At 35.8% G+C, this 26,127-nt stretch overlaps 1 protein-coding gene across 54 annotated transcripts in view; it reads right to left on the reverse strand.

Moving 5' to 3' along the window:
- CAMK2D (calcium/calmodulin dependent protein kinase II delta) overlaps positions 1 to 26,127 on the reverse strand; it is a 310,707-nt gene that overhangs the window by 40,786 nt on the left and 243,794 nt on the right. For 10 of the 54 annotated variants that reach the window (NM_001321578.2, NM_001321575.2, NM_001396964.1 and 7 more), the window contains 7 exons: positions 25,746 to 25,840; positions 23,252 to 23,374; positions 22,013 to 22,096; positions 21,511 to 21,553; positions 17,821 to 17,858; positions 11,119 to 11,160; positions 8,646 to 8,694 (listed from right to left, as the gene is read on the reverse strand). In NM_001321578.2, the coding sequence (NP_001308507.1) occupies positions 8,646 to 8,694; positions 11,119 to 11,160; positions 17,821 to 17,858; positions 21,511 to 21,553; positions 22,013 to 22,096; positions 23,252 to 23,374; positions 25,746 to 25,840 (474 nt within the window). Of the gene's footprint in view, positions 1 to 8,645; positions 8,695 to 11,118; positions 11,161 to 13,158; positions 13,219 to 16,418; positions 16,452 to 17,820; positions 17,859 to 21,510; positions 21,554 to 22,012; positions 22,097 to 23,251; positions 23,375 to 25,745; positions 25,841 to 26,127 lie in introns of all 54 variants that reach the window. The other 44 variants (NM_001399858.1, NM_172128.3, NM_001221.4 and 41 more) reach the window with 9 other exon arrangements.

Raw genomic sequence — 26,127 nt, forward strand, 5'->3', positions numbered from 1 at the left:
AGCCTGTTATTGGTCTATTCAGAGATTCAACTTCTTCCTGGTTTAGTCTTGGGAGGGTGTATGTGTCCAGGAATTTATCCATTTCTTCTAGATTTTCTAGTTTATTTGCGTAGAGCTGTTTGTAGTATTCTCTGATGGTAGTTTCTATTTCTGTGGGATCGGTGGTGATATCCCCTTTATCATTTTTTATTGCGTCTATTTGATTCTTCTCTCTTTTTTTCTTTATTAGTCTTCCTAGCGGTCTATCAATTTTGTTGATCCTTTCAAAAAACCAGCTCCTGGATTCATTAATTTTTTAAAGGGTTTTTTGTGTCTCTATTTCCTTCAGTTCTGCTCTGATTTTAGTTATTTCTTGCCTTCTGCTAGCTTTTGAATGTGTTTGCTCTTGCTTTTCTAGTTCTTTTAATTGTGATGTTAGGGTGTCAATTTTGGATCTTTCCTGCTTTCTCTTTTTGGCATTTAGTGCTATAAATTTCCCTCTACACACTGCTTTGAATGTGTCCCAGAGATTCTGGTATGTTGTGTCTTTGTTCTCGTTGGTTTCAAAGAACATCTTTATTTCTGCCTTCATTTCACTATGTACCCAGTAGTCATTCAGGAGCAGGTTGTTCAGTTTCCATGTAGTTGAGCGGTTTTGAGTGAGATTCTTAATCCTGAGATCGAGTTTGATTGCACTGTGGTCTGAGAGATAGTTTGTTATAATTTCTGTTCTTTTACATTTGCTGAGGAGAGCTTCACTTCCAACTATGTGGTCAATTTTGGAATAGGTGTGGTGTGGTGCTGAAAAAAATGTATATTCTGTTGATTTGGGGTGGAGAGTTCTGTAGATGTCTATTAGGTCCACTTGGTGCAGAGCTGAGTTCAATTCCTGGTTATCCTTGTTGACTTTCTGTCTCGTTGATCTGTCTAATGTTGAGAGTGGGGTGTTAAAGTCTCCCATTATTAATGTGTGGGAGTCTAAGTTTCTTTGTAGGTCACTCAGGACTTGCTTTATGAATCTGGGTGCTCCTGTATTGGGTGCATATATATTTAGGATAGTTAGCTCTTCTTGTTGAATTGATCCCTTTACCATTATGTAATGGCCTTCTTTGTCTCTTTTGATCTTTGTTGGTTTAAAGTCTGTTTTATCAGAGACTAGGATTGCAACCCCTGCCTTTTTTTGTTTTCCATTTGCTTGGTAGATCTTCCTCCATCCTTTTATTTTGAGCCTATGTGTGTCTCTGCACGTGAGATGGGTTTCCTGAATACAGCACACTGATGGGTCTTGACTCTTTATCCAATTTGCCAGTCTGTGTCTTTTAATTGGAGCATTTAGTCCATTTACATTTAAAGTGAATATTGTTATGTGTGAATTTGATCCTGTCATTATGATGTTAGCTGGTTATTTTGCTCGTTAGTTGATGCAGTTTCTTCCTAGTCTCGATGGTCTTTACATTTAGGCATGATTTTGCAGTGGCTGGTACCGGTTGTTCCTTTCCATGTTTAGTGCTTCCTTCAGGAACTCTTGTAAGGCAGGCCTGGTGGTGACAAAATCTCTCAGCATTTGCTTGTCTGTAAAGTATTTTATTTCTCCTTCACTTATGAAGCTTAGTTTGGCTGGATATGAAATTCTGGGTTGAAAATTCTTTTCTTTAAGAATGTTGAATATTGGCCCCTACTCTCTTCTGGCTTGTAGGGTTTCTGCCGAGAGATCAGCTGTTAGTCTGATGGGCTTCCCTTTGAGGGTGACCCGACCTTTCTCTCTGGCTGCCCTTAACATTTTTTCCTTCATTTCAACTTTGGTGAATCTGACAATTATGTGTCTTGGAGTTGCTCTTCTCGAGGAGTATCTTTGTGGTGTTCTCTGTATTTCCTGAATCTGAACGTTGGCCTGCCTTGCCAGATTGGGGAAGTTCTCCTGGATAATATCCTGCAGAGTGTTTTCCAACTTGGTTCCATTCTCCCCATCACTTTCAGGTACACCAATCAGACGTAGATTTGGTCTTTTCACATAGTCCCATATTTCTTGGAGGCTTTGCTCATTTCTTTTTATTCTTTTTTCTCTAAACTTCCCTTCTTGCTTCATTTCATTCATTTCATCTTCCATCACTGACACCCTTTCTTCCAGTTGATCGCATCGGCTCCTGAGGCTTCTGCATTCTTCACGTAGTTCTTGAGCCTTGGTTTTCAGCTCCATCAGCTCCTTTAAGCACTTCTCTGTATTGGTTATTCTAGTTATACCTTCTTCTAAATTTTTTTCAAAGTTTTCAACTTCTTTGCCTTTGGTTTGAATGTCCTCCCGTAGCTCAGAGTAATTTGATCATCTGAAGCCTTCTCTCAGCTCGTCAAAGTCATTCTCCATCCAGCTTTGTTCCGTTGCTGGTGAGGAACTGCGTTCCTTTGGAGGAGGAGAGGCACTCTGCTTTTTAGAGTTTCCAGTTTTTCTTTTCTGTTTTTTCCCCAACTTTGTGGTTTTATCTACTTTTGGTCTTTGATGATGGTGATATACAGATGGACTTCTGGTGTGGAAGTCCTTTCTGTTTGTTAGTTTTCCTTCTAACAGAGAGGACCCTCAGCTGCAGGTCTGTTGGAGTACCCTGCCGTGTGAGGTGTCAGTGTGCCCCTGCTGGGGGGTGCCTCCCAGTTAGGCTGCTCGGGGGTCAGGGGTCAGGGACCCACTTGAGGAGGCAGTCTGCCTGTTCTCAGATCTCCAGCTGCGTGCTGGGAGAACCACTGCTCTCTTCAAAGCTGTCAGACAGGGACATTTAAGTCTGCAGAGATTACTGCTGTCTTTTTGTTTGTCTGTGTCCTGCCCCCAGAGGTGGAGCCTACAGAGGCAGGCAGGCCTCCTTGAGCTGTGGTGGGCTCCACCCAGTTCGAGCTTCCCGGCTGCTTTGTTTACCTAAGGAAGCCTGGGCAATGGCGGGCGCCCCTCCCCCAGCCTCGCTGCCGCCTTGCAGTTTGATCTCAGACTGCTGTGCTAGCAATCAGGGAGACTCCGTGGGCGTAGGACCCTCCGAGCCAGGTGCGGGATATAATCTCCTGGTGCGCCGTTTTTTAAGCCCGTCGGAAAAGCGCAGTATTCCGGTAGGAGTGACCCGATTTTCCAGGTCCCGTCTGTAACCCCTTTCTTTGACTCAGAAAGGGAACTCCCTGACCCCTTGCGCTTCCCAAGTGAGGCAATGCCTTGCCCTGCTTCGGCTCACGCACGGTGCGCGCACCCACTGACCTGCGCCCACTGTGTGGCACTCCCTAGTGAGATGAACCCGGTACCTCAGATGGAAATGCAGAAATCACCCGTCTTCTGCGTCGCTCAAGCTGGGAGCTGTAGACCAGAGTTGTTCCTATTTGGCCATCTTGGCTCCTCCCCCCAGTAATTTTTCTAAGTAAACTTGTTGTAAAATCAAATTTTGGATTAGAAACCTGAAAGAAGTTATTATACACTACACTACAGTTTCCTCTAAGACATTTTTAACCTAATGGAATGACATAATTATCAAAAGTCCCTCAATAAAATACCCAAGAGTTTCTTAATTTGCAGATTTTTCTGGAAGTGAGAAATGTATGCAAGACAAGTCCTGAAATATAAATTACATGTAGATACCAAGAAGATCAGTACCATGAGATCATCTGCCTTAGGAAATCCCACACAGAAAAGAAGGTTTTCAGTGATCAAACAGAACTTAAGAATAGTTGAATCTGGGTAATCAGTCATCATACTATTCACTAATGTACATATTTATAGAAGACCCACACAGAGAGCTCATTAATCAAGTGATTCTATAAATTAGCTGAGACCACGATATCCAGGTCATCAAACATGAATCACCATTCAAGTAATAAGGGTGCCAACAACTTTGTCCTTAATTGAGACTTTTGCAAACATCCTCATTACTACTACCTAGTAATCAGGAAAAGTAAAAAGGAATTCAAGAAGGATGAAGTCTCCACACACAGTCTCATAGCCATAGAATCTGCTTGTTGTAAAGGGCTCCACTTTCCTAGATGTGTAAGAAGGATGAAATGCAGCAAGAGATCCAAGCTCGTGGTGAATGGTGAGCTGAAGTGAGATACTGGAAACAGGATGGTGACAGAAATGACACAAGGGCATACAGGAGCCCAACTTCAACAGGTGCTGCACAAGAATGCTGGGAAACATAAGCAGATGGACCATATGGACATGTACCCATCAGGAGGAAGTGGGTGACTCTGAACAATGGTGCTGGATGGGTTATGAGGCGGAGAGGCATTGCGGCATACAGCGACAGGTCCTGCAAACTGTGGCTACAGCCACAAACCAAAGGACGGTCTTCACATGTATACAGTGTGGAAAGAACTACTGCTACACATCACTGACTCTAGGCACACCCACACCCCTGGCGAGGAGTGCAGTTTGTACTGTTAACTGCTAATTAAGAGCTAATGATGACAGCTGTTGGATAACACCTTAAATCAATGGAAGTAGCTGTTTTACTGGAAATTGATTAAAAATGGAAATGACTATTTCAACAATTTTTGGCCTAAAGAATTGTATATTTTGAAAACACCAGTTAGTTGTAAGAAGAAAACTTTTTTTCTTATATAGGATGGGCAGTTGTTACCACAGTGCTTCCATGATGGTAATTATGCTTTATTGGGACTCCCATTTGCTTTTTTTTTTTTTTTTTTTTAAAGCAAAGTCTCACTCTGTCACCCAGGCTGGAGTGCAGAGGCACAATCTCGGCTCACTGCAATCTCCACCCACCGGGTTCAAGTGATTCTCATGCCTCAGCCTCCCGAGTTGCTGGGATTACAGGCGCGTACCACAGTGCCCAGCTAATTTTTGTATTTTTAGTGGAGACAGGGTTTCACCATGTCGGTCAGGCTAGTCTTGGACTCCTGACCTCAAGGGATCTGCCTGCCTCAGCCTCCGAAAGTGCTGGGATTACAGGTATGAGCCACCACTCCCAGACTCCCATTTGCTTTTAAACTATTAGTAACTCTCCATGACACTGAGTTTGCTGCTGAGTTTCCTGACATAGCATCATCAGAGATAATATTTGGTTTTAAACACTGAACAAAATTAGAAAGCTGCTCAAGAGGTCAACACTAGGGTGTCAACACATTGCCTTGGAGAAAGAAAACAATGAACTCTGGAAGCTTTTTAAAAAGAAGAGTTGTAAAACAATGCCAGTCCCTTGGGATGATTACGAGCTTGGGAAGAAAAATGTGGTTAGAGCTAAATGTTGAAGGTTTTTAAGAAAAAGGAAATAAAAGAACTTTTAGATTTAAAAAAATGTATTTATTTTGGGTCTCACTTTTTTCCTGGGTTTCACTGAGTTTTTTTTTTTTTAGGTAAAACATGCATATATGTTGGGTTTCACTAATTTTTCTTGATAGTTATTGTATTAAGTAAGATAAATGGGCCTACATTATAGCATAACAAGATTCATATAAAGGGTAGGAAACAGCATTTTGACTCTGGTGCATTCAAATCTCTTGAACATGGCTAGTTCAAAAAGAGAAGCACATGGAAGTCAGGTAAAGAGAAGGGATTCAATAAATATTTGCTGAATGAAGAAACAGCCTAGACACAATTCAAAAGTATTACACAGACTGGGGACATGATTTCTCAATGGAAACTAATTAGAAGAGCTGAAGGAAAATGGGCCTTTAAATCTTGGCTTTCTAAGGTGCTCCAGACTGAGGAACCATTAATCTCTGACTACTTTTGCTTTCTTTTATCTTTCTTTGAGAACAGCTGGCCTTGTCTGCCTTTTCCCATTCAAAGACGCCAGAAAGAAAAACTTTGTTGTTAGTTTACCTCATTTCTTCCTTTGACCGGGTTACCACAGTGTTTAATCCCCTCCTCCAGCAACTCCATGTTTCTTTACATTGGAGAGGACACAGAAGCTGTCCCTGCCAGGTTAGTCCTTGGGGATGGGGCAGAATGTGCACTGCCTTGGTATGGGAGGCATGTGACATGGTATTCAAGGAATCATATACCACCATAAAACAATGTAAGTCTAGGTGCTGGTGTTAGATGCACTATAGCTGGGACAGCCAGCAGCAATGGGTAGAGCAAGTGCTCGCATGCAGAAGTATGTATGGGGGTATGCCTTTAAGAATATGTCAAAAAGTGTGGTGTCTCACTGATCACAATGTTGTCTACAGAAAAGAGAAGGTTGAAAAGTATGTGTGTGGAAGACACAGTTTTGTAGATATGACATGGTTTTGTAGATGGGATACAGTTTTGGTCAGATTATTTAACTGATAGTAATTGTGAGTTCTTGGATGTTAGTTATAGAATGTTAGATATAGGTAAATTTTGGTTTCAACAGAGCTGGACAATAAACACATTCCCTACCAAGCTACTGAGAGCCACAGCAATTCTAAAGTAAAAATAAGAGAGCATAATTATTCACATATAGGGTCTTTCTTGAGGACCATGCACTGATAAATGGAGAGATTCCCACACAAACAGATCATCAGCATAATAAATAATTTAAAATCACTTAAGACCATTTTATCTACCACTTGTCCCAGTAAAAATGATGGGGCCTAGGCAATCTTTCAAAGTGTCTTCTAGTCTTAAAGGTTTCTGATATCATTCAATATTAAAAGGGTTAGTCTCCAGAAGGCTGTCTGGGTCTTACAGAGAACACAAATGAGTCCTAATGGGCTATGGTTATGACATTTTTGGCCAGATCCACACCAGCAAAATTAAGCAGAAACTTAAATAATGTATTTATTAAGGTAATAAAGCTAAGCACTTTGGGTTAAACGATCAACTGGACATTTCTTTTGATCTCAATATGATGCTGAATTCCTCTAATACTTGTATACAGACTCAATGTAATTATAAATACAAATACTATCTCAATTTATGAAATCCCAGAGGCAAGATGAAACCCATATCATTGTTATGATTTGAATTGGAGAACTGTTTTCTAAGAACTGATATTATTATTTCATTTTATCAAAAATAAATTACAAACTACAAGGTAACACTGACAGGAACTCTGTTTATACATTAATGTTTACATAGATTAATAGCAATGATCCTGAACCAATACTTAGTACAGTTGAGTGCCAAATTCAGGTGAGAAAGACCACTTATTAAAACCCTTCTCATGATTACGTTCCTTGGCAGATGAACTGCATATAGTAAGGTGCTGGTATTCTCCTAATTTTATTTGGTTATTTAAAGATTCAGTTTCTCCAGTGGACAATGAACAAGTTTTCTTAGTCTTGCTCAAGGGAAGAATGTGAAAATTCATATGAAACATTTAGCTTAGCTTAAAGAGCTAATGAATCCAAAACACAAAGATAATGCTTCCTGAATCAGTGGGAAAGCTAAATGGCATATCTATTTATTTGGCTAAAAAAAAAGAATATTTTTATCTAATATGACTGGTATCAATGATTCATAAAACTACTTCAGTTCAAATTTTAGCTTAAGTGCAAAGAGTGAGATGAATAGACCTACTAAATAAAATTCTTGACACAGCTATCTACCTTTCCACTGTAAAAAATGACTGACTACCTCTAGCAGAGTTAGGTCAGTGTGCTTAGTTATATAAATAGAGAGTACACTTTAACAGCATCAGCTGTTCTATTCAAACAAAAAGGAAAAAGTCAGCAGAGCTGACTGCCAAGTTGTGATCTACAGCCATTTTTATTTCCTAAATTGACCCCACGTCTCCTTGACCTGAGAATTTCCAAATCCTTTATTCTAAAATATGAATACAACTTTACAAGACTTTATTGTATTAACACTACCTTTAGAATTAAAGCTTATGGTGATACTATTAGGTCAGTAATCTTTTCAGATGAGGTTTAATTAATTTATGGATCATTGCTCCCAATTTATATTTCTTTTCCTTTAATATTTCTGTTTCAAATATCCTACTGTTACCGCTGTTTGTCAGAATATCTTCTAGACAACTGGTCTATAGAGACTGTAGTTATATATAATGAATTACAAAAACAACATAAAACTGCAAATGCAATTGATACAAAAGTAATACTTCTAAAACAGTGATGTGGCCAAAGGAGGTGACCTAACTGCAAATGTGTGTTCAGTATGTGTGTGCAGGGGCACTGAGAAGATGTCTGTAGAAACACTACCAATGACTCATACATGTAGCTAAAAGAACCTTGGCAACCAAAGTGAATGGAGGTCAAGAATACCTTTGGAATGTACACAAAAAGCTAGGATAAAAAGGCGGCCAAATAGAAAATTCTACTGATATTATTTGAGATGACTAAAAGTTAAAAAGTTATTTTTATACTGTATCCTTGAATATAAATTGTTTTCCAGATAGGTTTTATGAATGTACCCAATGTGTATACATTTTATATTACTTTTTGACTGACAAATTTACAATTTGTTATGTTCCTATAACTAGTAACTCATTATTAGTTGTCATTACTGCAATGTGCTAGAATATGCTACATGTCTACAGTTCAAAATATATAAAAGAATATGTAGGAAAAATGACAAAAGTAACATATTGTTGAAATAATTATGTACTTATAAAAATATTTTTTACTCATAAATAAAATATTTTTGTGCTTTAGGATAGGCCTACTTCCTAAACTTATTAGTTATTTGAAGCACTTTTTTTTTCATATATATATGTGAAGCTCTGAGGTAGGATTTTCCATTTCTGGTTAAATCATACCTTTCACATCTTCATCCTCAATTGTTGTATTTGAACTCTCAGTTGACTCCTGATGAGAAGAAAACACATTTTTAGGTTGCACGCAATGAATAGCTTGATTTCCTCCTTAAAAATTGGCTAGTGACATACATATCATGCAAAATTCTTCAGCAGGCTATGTGCATATGCTGACATGCAAATGGACAAACACATTAAGTGGTTTTTAACAGAAATAAAATGTCTGATGCTGCAAACATTTCAAACGGAGTACTCTGGTTGCCTAATCTCCGAAGCTGTATAAATCCAGGTGATTTGTAGAAGCAGCGGAAGTATGCAGTTTATTTTAGAAACTGTGTAAGGATGTGTTTTGTGTTACAGTGCCCTATAAGGTTTGCTTTTTCTGTGTGTCTACAAGCAATTGAATATGTTAGCCGAATGAATTTGATACTTAAAATAGAAAAAATTTCTATTCCCAATTAATTAATCAATAAAGAGTACCTTCTTTGCGTCAGGCACTATGTTAAGGCCTGTATGCCTTACACCTTTATAGGGAGAGAAAGCATTTCACCGCATCATTTAATGAAGAAGCTAAGGGGGTTAAGCTGAGATATGCTGAAAGTACTTTTGAGAAGAATTTTCATGTTTGTCCTCAGCACAATGGAATTATAATGAATAATTTACTTTCAAGGACAATTAGACTTTTTTCATTCTTTTCAAAAATAGCAACTGGCTGTTATTGATAAGAAACCTACTCCATAATAAAAAGACAAAGCTCTTTCTTTGTAAAACTACAAATTAAGTGGAAGATTGTTAAGCACACTTAAAAGTACACTGTAACTGCCAGAATTAAGATACATTTCTTAAAATGGTGTGATAAATGTGCTCATTAATAATGTATGAGTAAAATATTTTCTAGCAAATAAATTTTGCAATATTCATAAGAAAGACATAGTTTTCTACTTGGAATGATTAAATGCTAGAGCCAAAAATAACTGGAAACAAACTTCCAATCAATAGCTCAGTAATGGAAAACAGATTCTGGAAAATAATGTAAACACCAGCCAGTATCATTTTAGAGATTCAGTATTCAAAAAAGTGATCAATTTATATAAATATCATATACAATATTTAAACCAAGGGAAAAACTAATTAAAGGTGTACCCAGAGTCTCCATACACACAAAACCAAAGAAAGGAATCTTCATGCATTTCTTAATGTGACCTAGTATTCAAATGTAAGCTGAAAATGAAGGTAAACCCATGCACTGTAAAATTAAACTAATTCATGTCAGCAAGAAATATCATGCAGCAACTCTTACAAATGATATAGCTAGAACTACTGAAGTGTCCATTCCAGCTGTTATGCTTGGCGTTTCATTGGCTAATGCTATTAAAAAAATTGTTCTCATATGTGATGGTCCTGACTACCTCAAGGCTTTTCGGGACCTAGACCATTTGCAGTGTCATGACTATAAAATAAATCTCATATTAAAGAACATAACACTTCATGTTTTTTACTTTAATGGTTTTAATATTGATCAATTAAATGTTAAACCAGAGAGGAAATGTGTTTTCTGAGTCTTAAGATAAAATGTGCTTTCTAAGTCTTAAACATCATTGATAAGAGTATGGAGAAGATGCATGACTATATCTAATATTTGAGAAAAGTTTAGTATTTTTTCTTCCCTTAGAGATATAATAATATATGAAAAGTAAGAAATTGGACACATGGAATACATTCAGAAAAGGTCTTTCATCCTATAGACATGTATGCTAGTGCTGTTATTTAGTTAACATGCTATACAAATAATTTACAATGTATAGGAAACATTTAGTCTTCTTTCAACCTAAGTAGTTAAACCCCTGTTACTGGAATATATATTACTCAACAACAAACATATTTCACAAAAAGTGAAACTCCTTGATTCACCTCAAATTCATGCCAAACAACAACAACAACAACAACAATAACAACAATAACAACATCATCACCAACAAGGAATTAAGAAACCAAAAACCAAAAAAAAAAAAAACACCACTCTGACAACAGAATAGAATAAAACTCAAAAGTAACACTAAACAAAAAAAAAAACCTATAAAGTCAAGTTGATATTTTTGAAGACAATGGAATATTGCCAGAAATTCTAAAATATCATGCACAATATATCTACAGTACAAAGCACAAAGTCATGGGGAAAAAAATGACCAGATGGAATTGCTTAAGACACACAGTCATCTTGACATAAAGACTTCATTCATGTTTAGCCTGACTTTTATTGACTCATGGTAACATTAGTTTCTCTTTCAAGATGTCATTCATTTTTATTTGCAAGAAGTATGTCCATAGTTCTAGATAAATTAGGCCCAAAAGGAAGTGTGGTAGAAAATGGTTAGAATTTTCTTTCCTATTTTTAGATAACGAATTAATTTTTTTGAATATTTGATGAGATGTATAGTCTTGTTAAAGCAAGATGATGTTGATTCTTTCTGAATACCTTGTTTCCATCAGGGTTGTGGATTACAGTAGTTTGGGGCTCCTGAGTGAGAACAAAATAGAGAAAGAAACAGTTCGCATTGGTAAGTACATTCTTTCTAGTGTGAAGGACAGAGCAGAGTGAGCCAGCTGACAAAATGAAATAGTGACAAGAGCTAAAGCGATGTTAACTGCTGTCAGAGTTGCAGCTGACAATATCTCTGATGAAAGATCTCCCTGGCGAGGCCATGAGATAGGAACCTCCCTACCCAGAAGCAGCATGCAAAAGACCTTATTCTTGATCAGCATTCAAACAAGGCTTTGATATTTAGAGATCTGAAGAGGCACTCACTGTTTCACTTAATCCTATGCTTTCCTTTCTTCTTTAATGAGTGGCCTGTGAACGTCTGTCCCATAGAGAACTGGCCAAGGACACTGGAGCTAAAACTCTGAGATGATTTCAAATTCTCAGAGAAGATATTTTTTCAGTTATATTGGTTTGAAACTCGATTATGGTGTCATTAATTAATACGTAACTGAATACCCTTATAAAATCTAGAGCCATTGGACAACACTTAAAAAAAGACTATACTAAAGAATCCATTTCAAAAGACCATAAAAAAATTTTAAGGAACATTTAAAAAGTTTAAGGGACTAATCATGAACTAGAACTAATCTACTAATCTAGAACTAATCATGTAATCACTATAATTTGAGGCATACTGCTATTAAATCCTGTATTAATTCATATCTAAAAAACTTCTACTTTATGGACTATATATACAGGATATCTGGCTATAAAGTCATGCTTTTTTATGAAGAAAGTATGGGTTTTCTATTGTTTTCTATCAGAAAGCAAAGAAATATTCCCAAGTGGAGAATAACATTCAAATAACTGATGTAAAAAAAGATTCAATATGCATACATCAGTGACATGCTTGGCACTTTCATTGTGTGATATCTTGGCAATGGGGAGGTACTGCAACCCACTGGGAGTTCTCAATCATGGACACTCCCCCACCACTACAGTTTACACTGCTGTAATATTGAGAGACATATCTCCTGCTTCCATTCTCCCTTTCCCTTGGCTACAGCTGTGATCAACATTGTTTTTTACTAGTAGATAACCTGTTATTTTGATGTGTCCTCCTTTTAAATGTTTTTAAATGGAGCCTCATGGTTAACTCAAGTGAAATGATTCCTTAACATTTTTAAATTTATTTAAAATAACAGTATGAGAAGAGCAAATAATTGAAAAACATTTCTGAAAATCATAAATCAAAATATGAAACAGTTTAGGGAAAATGTTATGGAACTCAGCACTGAATGACAGTATTCAAATTCTGAATTTTAACATAATACCATCTCAAAGTGTTAGACTAATTTAGTCGTTAATTGTGTGGATTTGATTGAGATAGACATAACTGGTTTCCACTGATAATTCAAACCTCTATTCTTTGCAGTTTCATTCTTTGGATTAAAGTGAAACAGTGAAAATTTAATTTAAAACATAATAAACAGAAAGCTCTAAATTATCCAGTGCCTCTTTATCTCAGAAAGTGAAGTCTTACAAAGCCCTGTTGTGTTTTAATAAGAGGGAAACGAGAACTCTGAATAAGGTCTACTTTCATGTTGTCTAGCAACAATCCCATTAGCTCTCCTTGATGTAAGCATTTGCATCATGAAAAGAAGAAACCATTGTTTGCATAATCTAGAACTATCATCATCAGAAGAGCTAAGAGCAACCAAAGCGCTGTATTTTGAATGCAGCATGCAGTAATTCCAACTACAGAGACCACAGCTATCAGTACAATGTTCAACAACGAAATGAGATAATCTCATGTTAGAACACACTGCTTGACAACTAACTTAACCAAAAAAAACCAAAAGAAATGAACTTGGTCATATCATAGAAAGCAAAAAAAAAAAAAAACAAAACCCAACACCCAACGAAATAAAATATTTATATATATGTATCTATATAGTGAAAGCAAATGAGAGAAACCACAAAAAAAAAAAAATGTAAAGAACTTAAGAAGGGTTACAAAGAGTCCAGGTATACCAGCGCTGGGGTAGGAATATTTTCTTTGGGGCTGGTTACCACGTTGGCTTTGTTGTTTATCTGTGGGTATGCAGAAAATAGAAACAGAGATGCCTTAAACCCCTTGGTAGCCAATGTCTCTAGATGCAGCATGTCTACATAGAGATGTAGACATGAAGATAAAGAGCCACTGAAGATGAACGTGAAAGACATGGTGATGACTGACAGGAATGATGATCGCTAGTCTCCGATGGTCACACACAGGCTGGACCATGTCCGTGATGGTGCAATGAGAAAACAGACGTGTCTGCTGTTGCTATGCCACCTTAGCAAACAAAGAGCTGCTTCAGTGGAGCTCCAATCAGGTTTCAGAGTATGAAATTAATATAACCATTCTCATACTGTTCAAGTTGGATTCTGTTTCCAAGCTTCCAATTGTTCACAGTTATAAATATATTTCTTTCTTCCCTCATTTTATTCTTGAGCCTGAAGTCACACACACACATACATCTTTCTCTGGGGATCCAGCATTACTTTGCTTAGGAGCAATTAAATTATCCAATGAAAATTTAGATCTTCTGAGAAAACGCTGGTGTCACAATAGCTTTTAAAAATGACAAGTGTAGATCTCCTCTAAAAATTACATCTTCAATTATTAGTGGGGAAATCAAACTTTTTATGTTGAATGTAAAAGGACTTTAATTTTTACAGTTGTGTAAGAGGAAAATACTACATTTTCTGTCAATGTGCTACTGCTATCACTGCAGAATATATTTGGTAATATCATTCCCTTGCTTTAACATAACTGGATTTGACTTTAAAGAATATATCATTACCACTGTGGAAGCTGCGTGGTAAAAGCAACTCAGAGGGTCAATAAGTGTTCTAACGGTCCACAGAGAAGACTCTTTGTAGACAAGTGGCAATCAGAAACTACAACTGAGTCGGGGCACTAAGAATCAAGGACTGAAAAATAATAATCAATCAACATTCTTTTAAACTCATGCATGACAACTTACATTACGGTTCTCAAACAAAAATGTAAGGTAACGTTCATTTTCTTATACTATATTATCTAGGTATTTTATTTATTATTTTCTAAAGGAATATACCTCCATGATTTTAATATAAATATAGATAATGATGTAAAGAGAAACATATACTATATAAAATAAATGAGTATCAAATGAGCATTTCAAGTGGTGACACCAGTTTAATTGTTCGGGTTTTCTGGAAGTCTATATCTGATAACTATATATCCTGTCAAAACTAGTATTGAGAGGAAGATAGAAAGTAACATAAATTAATTTAAATATGTAATATTTTTCCTTTCTTTTCATTCCCTTTTGTCTGATTACTGGTATCGTTATTTTTACAATAAGTTGTGACACTGTGCTGCTTGACCCACAGAAAAGGATGAGAAAACTTCTAAACTTTCCTTTACTGGAAAATTCTATAAATGTTGTCATCAATCTATATTCTGCAGATAGTTAAAACCTTTTTTTTCCTTTAAATCAAAGTGCACAGAATTTAACATGATATTTGTGCAAGAGCCAAAGAGATAAGAGGTAAAAAGTCTATTAAAGAGGGATCAAAATTCAGTATTTATGTTAGTACAGGGTACGTGAGAAAAGGGGAGGGATGCACACACGAATAATTTCCTATTCGGGAAACATGCTAGGCAAAACATAGCCGGCTTCCTGTCAAATGAACAGGGGCACTTATGGTTAAAGCACCACATGTATTTAATATGCTATATTTAGTTTTTATCAGTGAATGCAAATGAAAGAAATATTCTGAGATACTTTTATTTCTATTTTGGGATATGATACTTGACTTTTTTCTAGGATGTGGTTGCCAAGAACTGCTTTATTTTAGTGAAAATGTCCCACTTGCACACCTGTGCACACAAACTTATCTGTACAAGTGCACATGTTCCCCCCCCCACACACACACACCTACACACATTCACACACAGATACACAGCATACACACACCATCATCTCTTCCAGATGAAGGCCATTCTGTCTGGGTGAGCCATTCTTTATTGTTAGGTATGGGAAACATGAGTTAAATGAATATGTGCCTCAACCACACTTTTGGTCATGTTTAATATGCAGTTAAAGCTTTTTTGTTAATGTAAAGACTAACTAAATGATTTTTTTCCTATGGAAAATCTTTTGCAGTTATTTATAATATTAATTTATTGAAAAATAATAGGATAATTTCTAAGCAAAAGGCAAGAAGACGTTCTTTTCAAAGAGTCAAATATAAGTATAGGTTCAACCACAAATGTCTTTTTTTTTTTTCTTTGAGATGGAGTTTCGCTCTTGTTGCCCAGGCTGGAGTGCCATGGCGCGATCTCGGCTCACTGAAACCTCTGCCTTCTGGGTTCAAGTGATTCTCCCGCCTCAGCCTCCCCAGTAGCTGGGATTACAGGTACGGCCACCACACTTGGCTAATTTCTGTTTTTTGTTTGTTTGTTTTTTTTTTTAGTAGAGATGGGGTTTTACCGTGTTGGCCAGGCTGGTCTCGAACTCCTGATCTCAGGTGATCCGTCTGTCTCAACCTCTCAAACTGCTGGGATTACAGGTGTGAGACACCGCTCCTGGCCCATAGATGTCTTTTAAAAATACAAAAACTCTGGCACTTTTGTGTGATATAATTATTTTATGTTAATAGAAGCAAGGTGTTTTTCTTTTTTAAAAAATCATGAATCAATCAAATCAGATAATTGTATGATGCACTGAATTACTCTTATGAGGCATGGGCAAGATATTCCTATTTCTCAGGTGTTAAATTTATTGTTTGAAGGTTAATAAACATTTCCTTTAAAGGTACTTAACTAGGATTGGTACATTGTAAGATCACTTTCACACCTTTATAAACTCCATGGTGAATGTATTATGGTGTCCTATAAATCACTCCTATTTTAGCAACCATAAAGAACATTAAAAAAAACATATAGTTTTTTGTTTGTTTGTTTTTACTGATCACTATACAGACATTCATTCTGTCATGGTCTTTTTATTTTCAAAGAGAAAATTGACTTTGTAAAAGAGCAAACCTCTTAATATACTATCTACATGTATAACAAATTCAATTTCAGAGAAAAAACAATGTAATATGTAAGAGAAGTACCGTGTTTTGATAGTTGACTAACACTGACCTGTAATGGTCCTACACCCTCTCCACTTACTTACACTATCTTAGGTAAATAAGACTTTTATTCCTAAGTGTGAATTTTCACAGGAGGAGAAATCTGGCAGATAGATCCTCACCATCATCTGAACACTCGAACTGGACTTCCTTTTCTGAATTGACCAGTCAAAGAGAAAGGAAAAGAAAAAAAAATATGACCGGTTGAATTTAGAGTATCAAAGCATGGAGTATAGAATAATTTTGTTTTTAAAGAGGAGCTATAAGTTGAATGGAAGGAAAAAGTTCTGGAAATGCGTTCTATGTAAGGATAGTAATGAAAATAAATATCTCAATAGGAACTGTGAGCTCTCCATCACTGAACGGTACAGGAAAGCCCAGGAGAAGAAAATGTTTGGAAAATGTAAGATACCACATTTCTACTATTGTAACATTGGGAAAAAGGCAGTCATCAACTATCATTCTTAAAATCTAAATGGAATAAACTAATCAGAATGAAGACACAATTGCAGGCTGAGGAAAGCAATTGGTAAATGGAAATGGCATCCTAAAGGAAATCACAAATGCACAGTCATCAGTGCTCCAGAAATTTCCAAGTTGCACACAGACAGGTGGTAAAGAAATGACTGAGCATGAACATTTAAAGTGACAAATGATTTTCTATGTTTTCAATATGAACTGACCACCTGACTTTGGGTCAAATTCAAATGTTAGAAAATTAATTAATTCCCAAGAACGTTGAAGTGTTGATGAAGAATGTATGCATCTGTCCTTGGAAGAGAAAGAAAAGGATTAAAGAAATAAAACATTTAGGTGGTACTCTGAAAAGATAACAAACATCATTATGTACCATAAGATTACATTCCAACAAGAGTAAATCCCCTTGAAACAAAATACAATCAGTAGGAAAGAAACTGTATTATTTTGTTTAGAAAGCCAGAAAGTAAAAATATCCTGCTGTTATTTTTCTTGCAAGATTTTTCTAATATTTGTTCAGATCATTCATCTTGAATATATCTCAACACCTTATGACAGAAACAAGGAATAATTAAGACCTTTATAAAAACTGCCCAAGCAGATTAATTTAGACATTTGACATTCTATTTTCCATACCCAAATGTGAGTATTTTTCAGGCTATATATTTCAGTGGCCTTCACGTATGCAGCATAATTATTTGGAAAAGCATTTGGTTTTTACAGACTTTTAGGTCACCATGGTAGTTTGGAACTGTAGTAAATCAGAGAGATTAAGACATTTAATTATTTCTATAGGAACTCTATATTGTATAACAACATTATTTTTTCATGACTATTTCATATATAATCCAACAGGAGAAATACAGCTTTTCTTGATATAAATGTTAGTCATCTTTGTATATTAAATCATTTCATATTTCAACCTGCAACCTTTATCAGAAACAATAAAAAATAGAACTTGCAAAGACTTAGGAATTATATATAACATTTAAAGATTATCCAGCATCTGAAAGTCAGAAATGGATTAGGGGCATCTGTTTAACTTACCTTTACTCCATCTGGTTTCTTCAACAAACTCTTGGCTGCTGTAAAATGAGAGTAAAATCAGTTTAGTGAGTTATCCATAGAAACCCACAGCCAGACAACAAAGCAGTCAGGTTATTGTCTCCTTCTACCACCTTTGCTGAGTTCTGGCCAACATATGGCAAGTTATCAAAGTCACACTGATGAACGCGAGCTTACAGGACATTGAAATACAGTATCACTTTTCTTGGTTTGCCACAGCAAATTTAGAACTAAAGAGTAGTTCGTTGCATACAATTGAATACTTTGCCAGTTGTGTTTATTGGACTTTATTTCACTGTTGGTTGTGAAAAGGATACTGGAACTTTAACTGGACTATCCTTTTGTAATCCAGAAAGTTGAATTCAGTCTTTGGACATCAGCTGACTGACAGATTGTATTACATGTTCATTCACACCACATATGGTGACCATGTCAGTTCTGCCATTTAAGCCCTGCTTTCCAGAGGTTGAAAATTCATTTGTAAAATTTGCTCTGGCTAAATAACATCTTCATTACATTCTTGAAGTCAGACAATTTGGTTTTACAAAAAATATTACTATTTAAATAAAATGGCATATTATTGGCTTAGAGCAAATTTTTAAAATGTTTAGCACATGATCTCTAAAAAATGGCATTATGTATTCTTTTATACATTAAAATCAGAATACAAAGGCTTCATAAACAAAAGCCTTTACAATGAAAAAGTAAAAATCATAAAATTTGAGACAACATAAAACCAGAATAAAATCTTCAACGAAATTAGAGAAATCTTAAAGCATATGGGTCTTATATGAAACTTCATTTTTTTTGGAAGGGAGCTTTTAACATTCCTTCTGTTACTAAACTTCTTGAGTATATGAAAAGGTGAAGTCACCCTTTCAGAAAAATCTACTAAGGAATGTGTAGATACACAGTGAAGAGATAATATAACTGTCAATGACAATTAGTACACCAAGTGTAGAACATTCACAAATATGCAGGACATGATACACACTTATGCTTTCATTTAATATTAATTACATATACTTATTTAAGTATATCAGAATAGAATTTGGCTTCGAAAGTGGAAATACCTAGCTAGAATAGAACTGCATGAACATGTAATTTCCTGACATTCATTGATTTGGGCCATTATTTCAATATCATATTGGTATATTTTTAAATTTACTTAAAAGATACAAAAATGTTAACTTCATTAATCTTTAGCAACACAGCTATTAATTTATTATTAATTGAGATTGTAAGAAATAGTTGCCTTAGCCATTATATTGTTTGCCTGGAGCTAAAAAGCAGTATTAAATCAATCCTGTGGCAGTTAATAGGTTAGAAAGCAAACTCAGAATAATTGAAATTGCAATAGCAAGCAAAGAGAAGATGATGATTCAGGGTAAGCAGGGATTTGGCCTGGGAGATGCAAAAATGTCCCTTTTGGTTACTATTCACCTTACCTCACAAGAAATACATTCCACATAAAGGGAGAAAAGAAAAAATAAAAACAACAACTTTATAACCATATACTTATGGATAAATTACTTTAAAGAGCATGTTTGGCAATGAAATAGGATGAATAAAATACTCTAAAATGCAGTATCAAGTACAAGATGTTGTAACTGGGTCTAATATTCTTCAGTTGATTTTGAAGTGATGGATTAAAAAAATTGCTTTTTCATGCTAAGACAATCAGAAACAATATAAAATTCACATATTAGTCATGAGTTTTTAGTTTACATGATGATGAAAAGGAAACTGTGAGGTAAACAAAAAGCTTCTATATATGGGTACATACATTAATAAAGGCCCAATTTATGCCCAAGAGTGTATTTAACACTTCTTTAACAAAATGTACAGTTTTAAATGTGAAGATTTTTTAAAGTTTGGGTTAGTTTGCCATTAACAATTTATGCTATATAAATCACTCTACCTTTTAATGATTCACTAATTACTGGGCCACAGTGAAATTTATTTGAATATCATATATATGAATTAATATTTAATGATATGGCATTGAACTCACCCATATAAATGTCAACTATATTAATCAATGGTTTATGAAACAGGTAACTTGACAAAGGCAGCAACAAGGTATTATTACACTAAATGAATTGGACAAAATACATACAACTGGCCAACACAGTCCCTCAATTCGTAGCATTATTCATTGTACTACTGTTGTTGCTATTTTTTAACAGCCTTTGAAAGGCCTCTTATGGTTTCCCATTATTTGTAATGAAATGCAAAGGTGGGGAGAAAGGTGACCACTTAATGCAGTTGTAAATAATAACTAGATATTGGTTGAAGAGCATTTAATAATGATATGATGGATTATTACCTGATAACACTATAACACCCAGGCTAAGTATGTAGCAGAAAACAAAATAAAGAATTGAAAAAATAGCTGGACAGTTTGATGCTGCAGATCACTGTTATGTAAACTGTATCCAAACTAAACTGGTAGTATTTTTGGCTGACAAGTGTTCCAAGTCTAAAGGGCCAAAGGTTACCAAGTGCGGCTTAATTGCTGCTCCAGTCCTTCCCCCTACATAAGACTGCTTAGCATTGAACAAGATTTGACTTTTGGGAACCTGGTCCTTTGAGACAATCTATCAAAGAAGGAGGTTGCAAAACTCAAGTAATTTCTTGGAGTAATATATACTTTATCTCCACTTTTAGAGAGTGACGCTTACAATAAAGAAATGGCTTGGCTTCTTTAAGCCTATTATTTAACAAACTTATTTTTACCATGGAATCATTTTGAGGGACATTTATTATGCTCTGATAGTACTGAGTGCAAGGTGCTCTGTAAATTCTTGAGTTAGATACCTTTGACAGTTGTAATCACTTTTATAGTACACCAAGAAAATACTATACTTTTGAATGAACTTAGGTCTAAGAGAACTGGGTTCCTCAATAATGGTCTTCCCTTTTTTTTGTTTTTTGAGACGGAGTCTCGCTCTGTCGCCAGGCTGGAGTGCAGTGGCGTGATCTCTGCTCACTACAACCTCCACCTCCCTGGTTCAAGTGATTCTCCTGCCTCAGCCTCCCAAGTAGCTGGGACAACAGGCACGCGCCACCACACTCAGCTAATTTTTGTATTTTTAGTAGAGACGGGGTTTCACCATGTTGGCCAGGATGATCTTGATCTCTTGACCTTGTGATCCACCTGCCTCGGCCTCCCAAAGTGCTGGGATTACAGGCGTGAGCCACCACGCCCGGCCAATAATGGTCTTCTTTTAAAAATCTTGCATACTAGGATTCCCTATGAAAATGAGACCAAAAATAACTTATTCAAAGTTATTACTTTATGAAATATCAGTAATAAATTCTAGGTTTGAAACGCTGAGATCGTAAATGAGGGAGTATTTATTTCCACAACTCGTGCGCACCCCAGCACTTGACAGATGAGGCTAGTCCTGCACCAGCACTGACTGGTGGCCACTGCTGCCAGAAGCAGTCTTGTGAGGGGTTCAGTCACGGAGGCTCGGCAGCAGACAGCACCCAGGTAGACTGCTAATGGCAGCCATAGGTGTAGAAGGAATCTGTGCCACACATTTGCCACCCCTGAACAATGAAGTTTTTCTAATTATTAGATTTTTAAAATTCCAGAGACAAAAAAACAGAGACTACTTAAAAAGAAGACCAAGGGATAAGAAGCAGAGTTCCCAATGCATGTACCTGAGAAATTCCTTGTAGCCAGCATAGTTGTCAAGATGGCACCCTGTGAAAAAAATTAGAACACAAAAGTCAGTGTTGCCTATGCAAATTCTGGACCTAACAAATATAGAGTCTTTGATAACAAATCTTTTCCTGGCCCTACTTTCAGTTAGGGGATTTTTTATTGTTTGTTTTTGTTTTTTGGTTTCCTGAGAGTCAAAGGCCTTTGTCTCTCATGATGCTGGGACGGCCCTAGTGTGCGGGCCAGATTCTGATTATCAAATTGCACAGCTGTTTTCCACTGAAGGAAGGATCCACAGCATGTGTTGCCAGGATGATTCCAGCTTTTCACCATAGTTTTGATTCTGGTGTATATTCCATTTCCCAAGAGCCCCAAAAAGAATAATGAGAGTATTGAGGTCTACATAATTGAAAGCCTTTGCTAGAAGTTATTTTCCTCACACAGTATTTCACTTCTTAGTCTGTCAAATCTACCTCCCCATAAAAATGTAAAATTTCTTACCTTTAGTTTTCTTCTAGCATTAAATTTCTTCAAGCAGTCTACAGTCTCCTGTCTGTGCATCATGGAAGCAACAGTAGAACGTTGCTAGAAGAAGAGGAGAAAAAGTAACTTAATTGAGAATATTTAAAACACACTAAGTATAATAATGTCCCTGACTTCATCAAATATTTATTAATGGTGCTGCACCTGCAGGATCAACTTCTAAGTATTCAATTGCCAAAGTTACCTAAAAATAAAATTTTAGTTTTGCCAAGACTACTTGTGACCAAGATGCAACACTGACGTATAGAAAGTATAGAAATGGGCCGGGCGCGGTGGGTCACGCCTGTAATTCCAGCACTTTGGAAGGCCAAGGCGGGTGGATCACGAGGTCAGGAGTTTGAGACCAGCCTGGCCAACATGGCGAAACCGCATCTCTACTAAAAATACAAAAATTAGCCGGGCGTGGTGGTGGGCACCTGTAATCCCAGCTACTCGGGAGGCTGAGACAGGAGAATTGCTTGAACCTGGGAGGTGGAGGTTGCAGTGAGCCAAGATCGTGCCATTGCACTCCAGCCTGGGTGACAAGAGCAAGACTCTGTCTCAAAACAAAACAAAACCAAACCAGAAAGTATAGAAATGAATATTAATAATTTCTCAAATTATCTTTATTTTAATGTCTTCAATCACATTTTGATTGAGCTGCCTTTCATTTACTTAGTGCCACATTTATCACCTTAGCATTTGACACATTTGGAAATTTACTGAAGTCTCCAGATCCCCCTCAAATTTCACACTATTCTTCTTAATATTTCTAAAATATATTCAGACTACTATGACCATTATTTTACGCCACTGAAACTCTACTGTCAGCTGCCAAACTTCATACTTGTTTCTAAAGTTGCCTAATGATAAATAATTGAACTTTGTTAAATCTTTTCTTCTGGGACACATTTAATTTTGGTGTTATTTTCTTAACCTTGTTCATGAGTATTGTTAATAATTGATATGGAGAATACTCATTCCTTTTGTTACTGCAAGCAATATTTATTTAAGAATCTATGCAATTCAGACTTTGCTACTGAAAATTGCATTTTTTCACCATCATAAAATTAATTTTCTTAAACACCTCGAGTCAAAAATTCATTCATTCTGAGTTTCATCTTTTTTTGCAAAGCTATTTTAAATCCATAAACAATATATTAAAGGAGAGCTTATTTTTCATTTTAGTTCTTGAAGTTTTGGAGAAGTTTTACTTACACAGATCCATGGGTGCTTCAGTGCCTCTGAGGCTGTGATGCGTTTGGCAGGGTTGATAGTAAGCATTTTATTGATGAGGTCTTTGGCTTCAGGAGTCACCGTGTCCCATTCTGGTGATGGAAACTTCAAAAATATAAATTTATAAAAAGTTTAAAAAATAGACACACTCGATCAAACAGGGAAGAGTCAACTACATGAATCATTCCCTCAAGTAGTGAATTTCTTCATAAATTTACTTTTTATATAAGTTAAGTTGTATCTAAAATAAATAAAACCATTTAGATCTATTCTCCCCCTCTATGTAGACAACTATATATATTAAAGAGTATCTGATAAGGGACCAACATATGTACTGAGCTGCATATCACATATGGTAAATACATTTTAAAATTCAGAAAAAAAGAACTTAAGAATCTTCTATTCTTCTCAAAGTATCTCTGCTTTGATCTGAAAATGAAATTTTATACAATCTTTCTCATAATTATTTGCAAAACTTAATAAAAGCAAACAGGTTGCTACATGTACCAATGTCATCATGATATTATGCCAAGGTTCAAAATGAGGTATTATATACTTTCACAACTCATAAGCAGTAATAGCAGAGGTAATAAAACAGCTTCAATTCCTGTGCCAAAACTGACCTATTAATCAGGGCTACTTGGAGTGCTGTAGTGAGAAGAATCTGAGACTACAGGAGCTTCAGCAAGATTTCATTTTAACCCTTCAAGAAGTTTAATCTGCCCAATTACAAATTTCACCAAAGTATATGAAAGTAATCAAATCTTATAACTTCCCATTACTAATACTTTTTTATATTAAGACTATATAAGAAAGCTACTTCTCCTTTCTTTACATTATTTTTTGTAGTGATAATTACTTAACTTACTTTTATATGATTAGCATATTTAGTAGAAATACTGTCCTTCAACGATGAAGGGAAATTTACACCACATTAGTTGCAAAATGATAGAATATCAGGTTATTTTCCCAATTCATGAATTTGTATGGACAATCTTGAAAAATAAAGCCATTGCCACTGTGTCATGGAATTAAATTAGTCCATTTTTAGTAGTTTTAAAATGGGGAACTTGTGACTCACTGGCATAATAAAGCATGAGAAAAATGATATTGACTCTAATATCTGTAATTTTTGCCAGCTAAACAATTGCCATTTTTTAATTCCTGAAGCTTATCTTTGGCAGTTGTAAAAGCTTGCTAACTATTAGGAGCTGTTAAAGAAACACACGAGGCTGTTTCTTAATGTTGTACAGGTCTTCTGATAGCAAATGAGCGGTAGGTTCAGCATGAAGAAAGGTGAACATTTTCCTCAGTTCTCTAATTTTCATGAAAGCATTCCTCTAGGTATACCAAGCAGTGCATTTTCAGGGCTACGTCTGCCCAGAGAGGGGCTGGTTCTAGTCTGTAAAGATGGTGAATGTGCTAGCTATTGCCATGTAAATAATAATTTGTTCCAATTACTAGTCTAGGAATAATGCAATGCTTTGAAATTCAAAGAATATACATTTTTAATTCTTGCTGACACACACATCCATCTAAATAGAAAATTTTTATCAGAAATGCATTGAAGAGTTCACGAGACATTATAGAATATAATAAAGACATTTTATATCTTCTCCTCTCACTTTCACATTGAGCTTTCAACTTGTGCACAAAAGGTGAACCCAATATTGCTACTCTGTAGTTACTCTACTTAATAACACATGGAAAGCATGCCCAGACCCTGCACATGGATTTCCATAGGGCTGTATGAGGGGAAACCTGAGAAAGTGGTAAATCATATTTACAAGAATATGTATCAAAGGAGAGCAAATTATATCATAAACACAAAGTTAAGCCATAAAGAGAAAGTAGATAAAGCCTTCCTCTTCAGATTCTGAACTTAATTTATGAATGTATATATATATATCTACTTTCAAATATTCTAATTATAAATTAAATATATTATTAGAATTATGATTTTCAAATTTTTCAATTGTGAAACTCATTCTTCAAATGAAAGCTTGCATAGTATCCCAAACAGTACAAAAACAAAAAACAAAACCCAGAAACTGGTATAGTGGGATAATGTTCTATTTGATATGTGATCACAGCAAAATATTGTTGGTATATAATATAAAATTATGTGATAGATATTTGAGAATATAATTCAACTAAACAGGCAATAATCATTTCTATAGCAGAAATATTTTAATTTTTATGTTTTTAAAATGCACTAAGGTCCAAATATTTTGACAAAGTTCTTCCTCAGAGACTTCACATGGCTTTTCTTTCAATCTTAGGAGACAGTGAGTTAAAAGGAAACGTAAACTGGATACAAATGCTGCATTTCTTTCTCCCTTTCCTTAAGAGAGAGGGAAATAATATGAGAAAGTGGTAAAAATTATGGTTAAAAGAAAAATGAAAAGATCTGGCTCTTGGTCAACAGGCAAAAGACAAACCTTCATCTAAAGTGATATAAATAGTTATTACATACATCATAAGCTCCAGCCTTGATCTGCTGATAGAGTCTGTGTTGGTCTTCATCCCAGAAGGGTGGATACCCCACAAGTAGAATATAGAGAATGACACCTGGAGGAGAATATAATGTTAACACAATTTAAGTCATATAGACAACAGTAAATTAAATGTGGCTGATCCACAATGATATTAAGCCGTAGTTGTTAAAACAGAGAAAACTGGATTGTAGGAAAACTTCAGAAAGATGTGTTATGATCTAGTCTAGAGCAGTCTCTGGAGGGTGAATGCTTCTCCTCCTATGCTCCAGAACTCTGACAATGTGTCAGTCAATGCATGCATCAAAGAATTCTAAAGAGGCATGGCAGGGCAACATTCATTTAGGGCAACATTCTTTGGCC

Source organism: Homo sapiens, chromosome 4 (assembly GCF_000001405.40).
Source record: "Homo sapiens chromosome 4, GRCh38.p14 Primary Assembly".
Taxonomy (NCBI): Eukaryota; Metazoa; Chordata; class Mammalia; order Primates; family Hominidae; genus Homo; species Homo sapiens.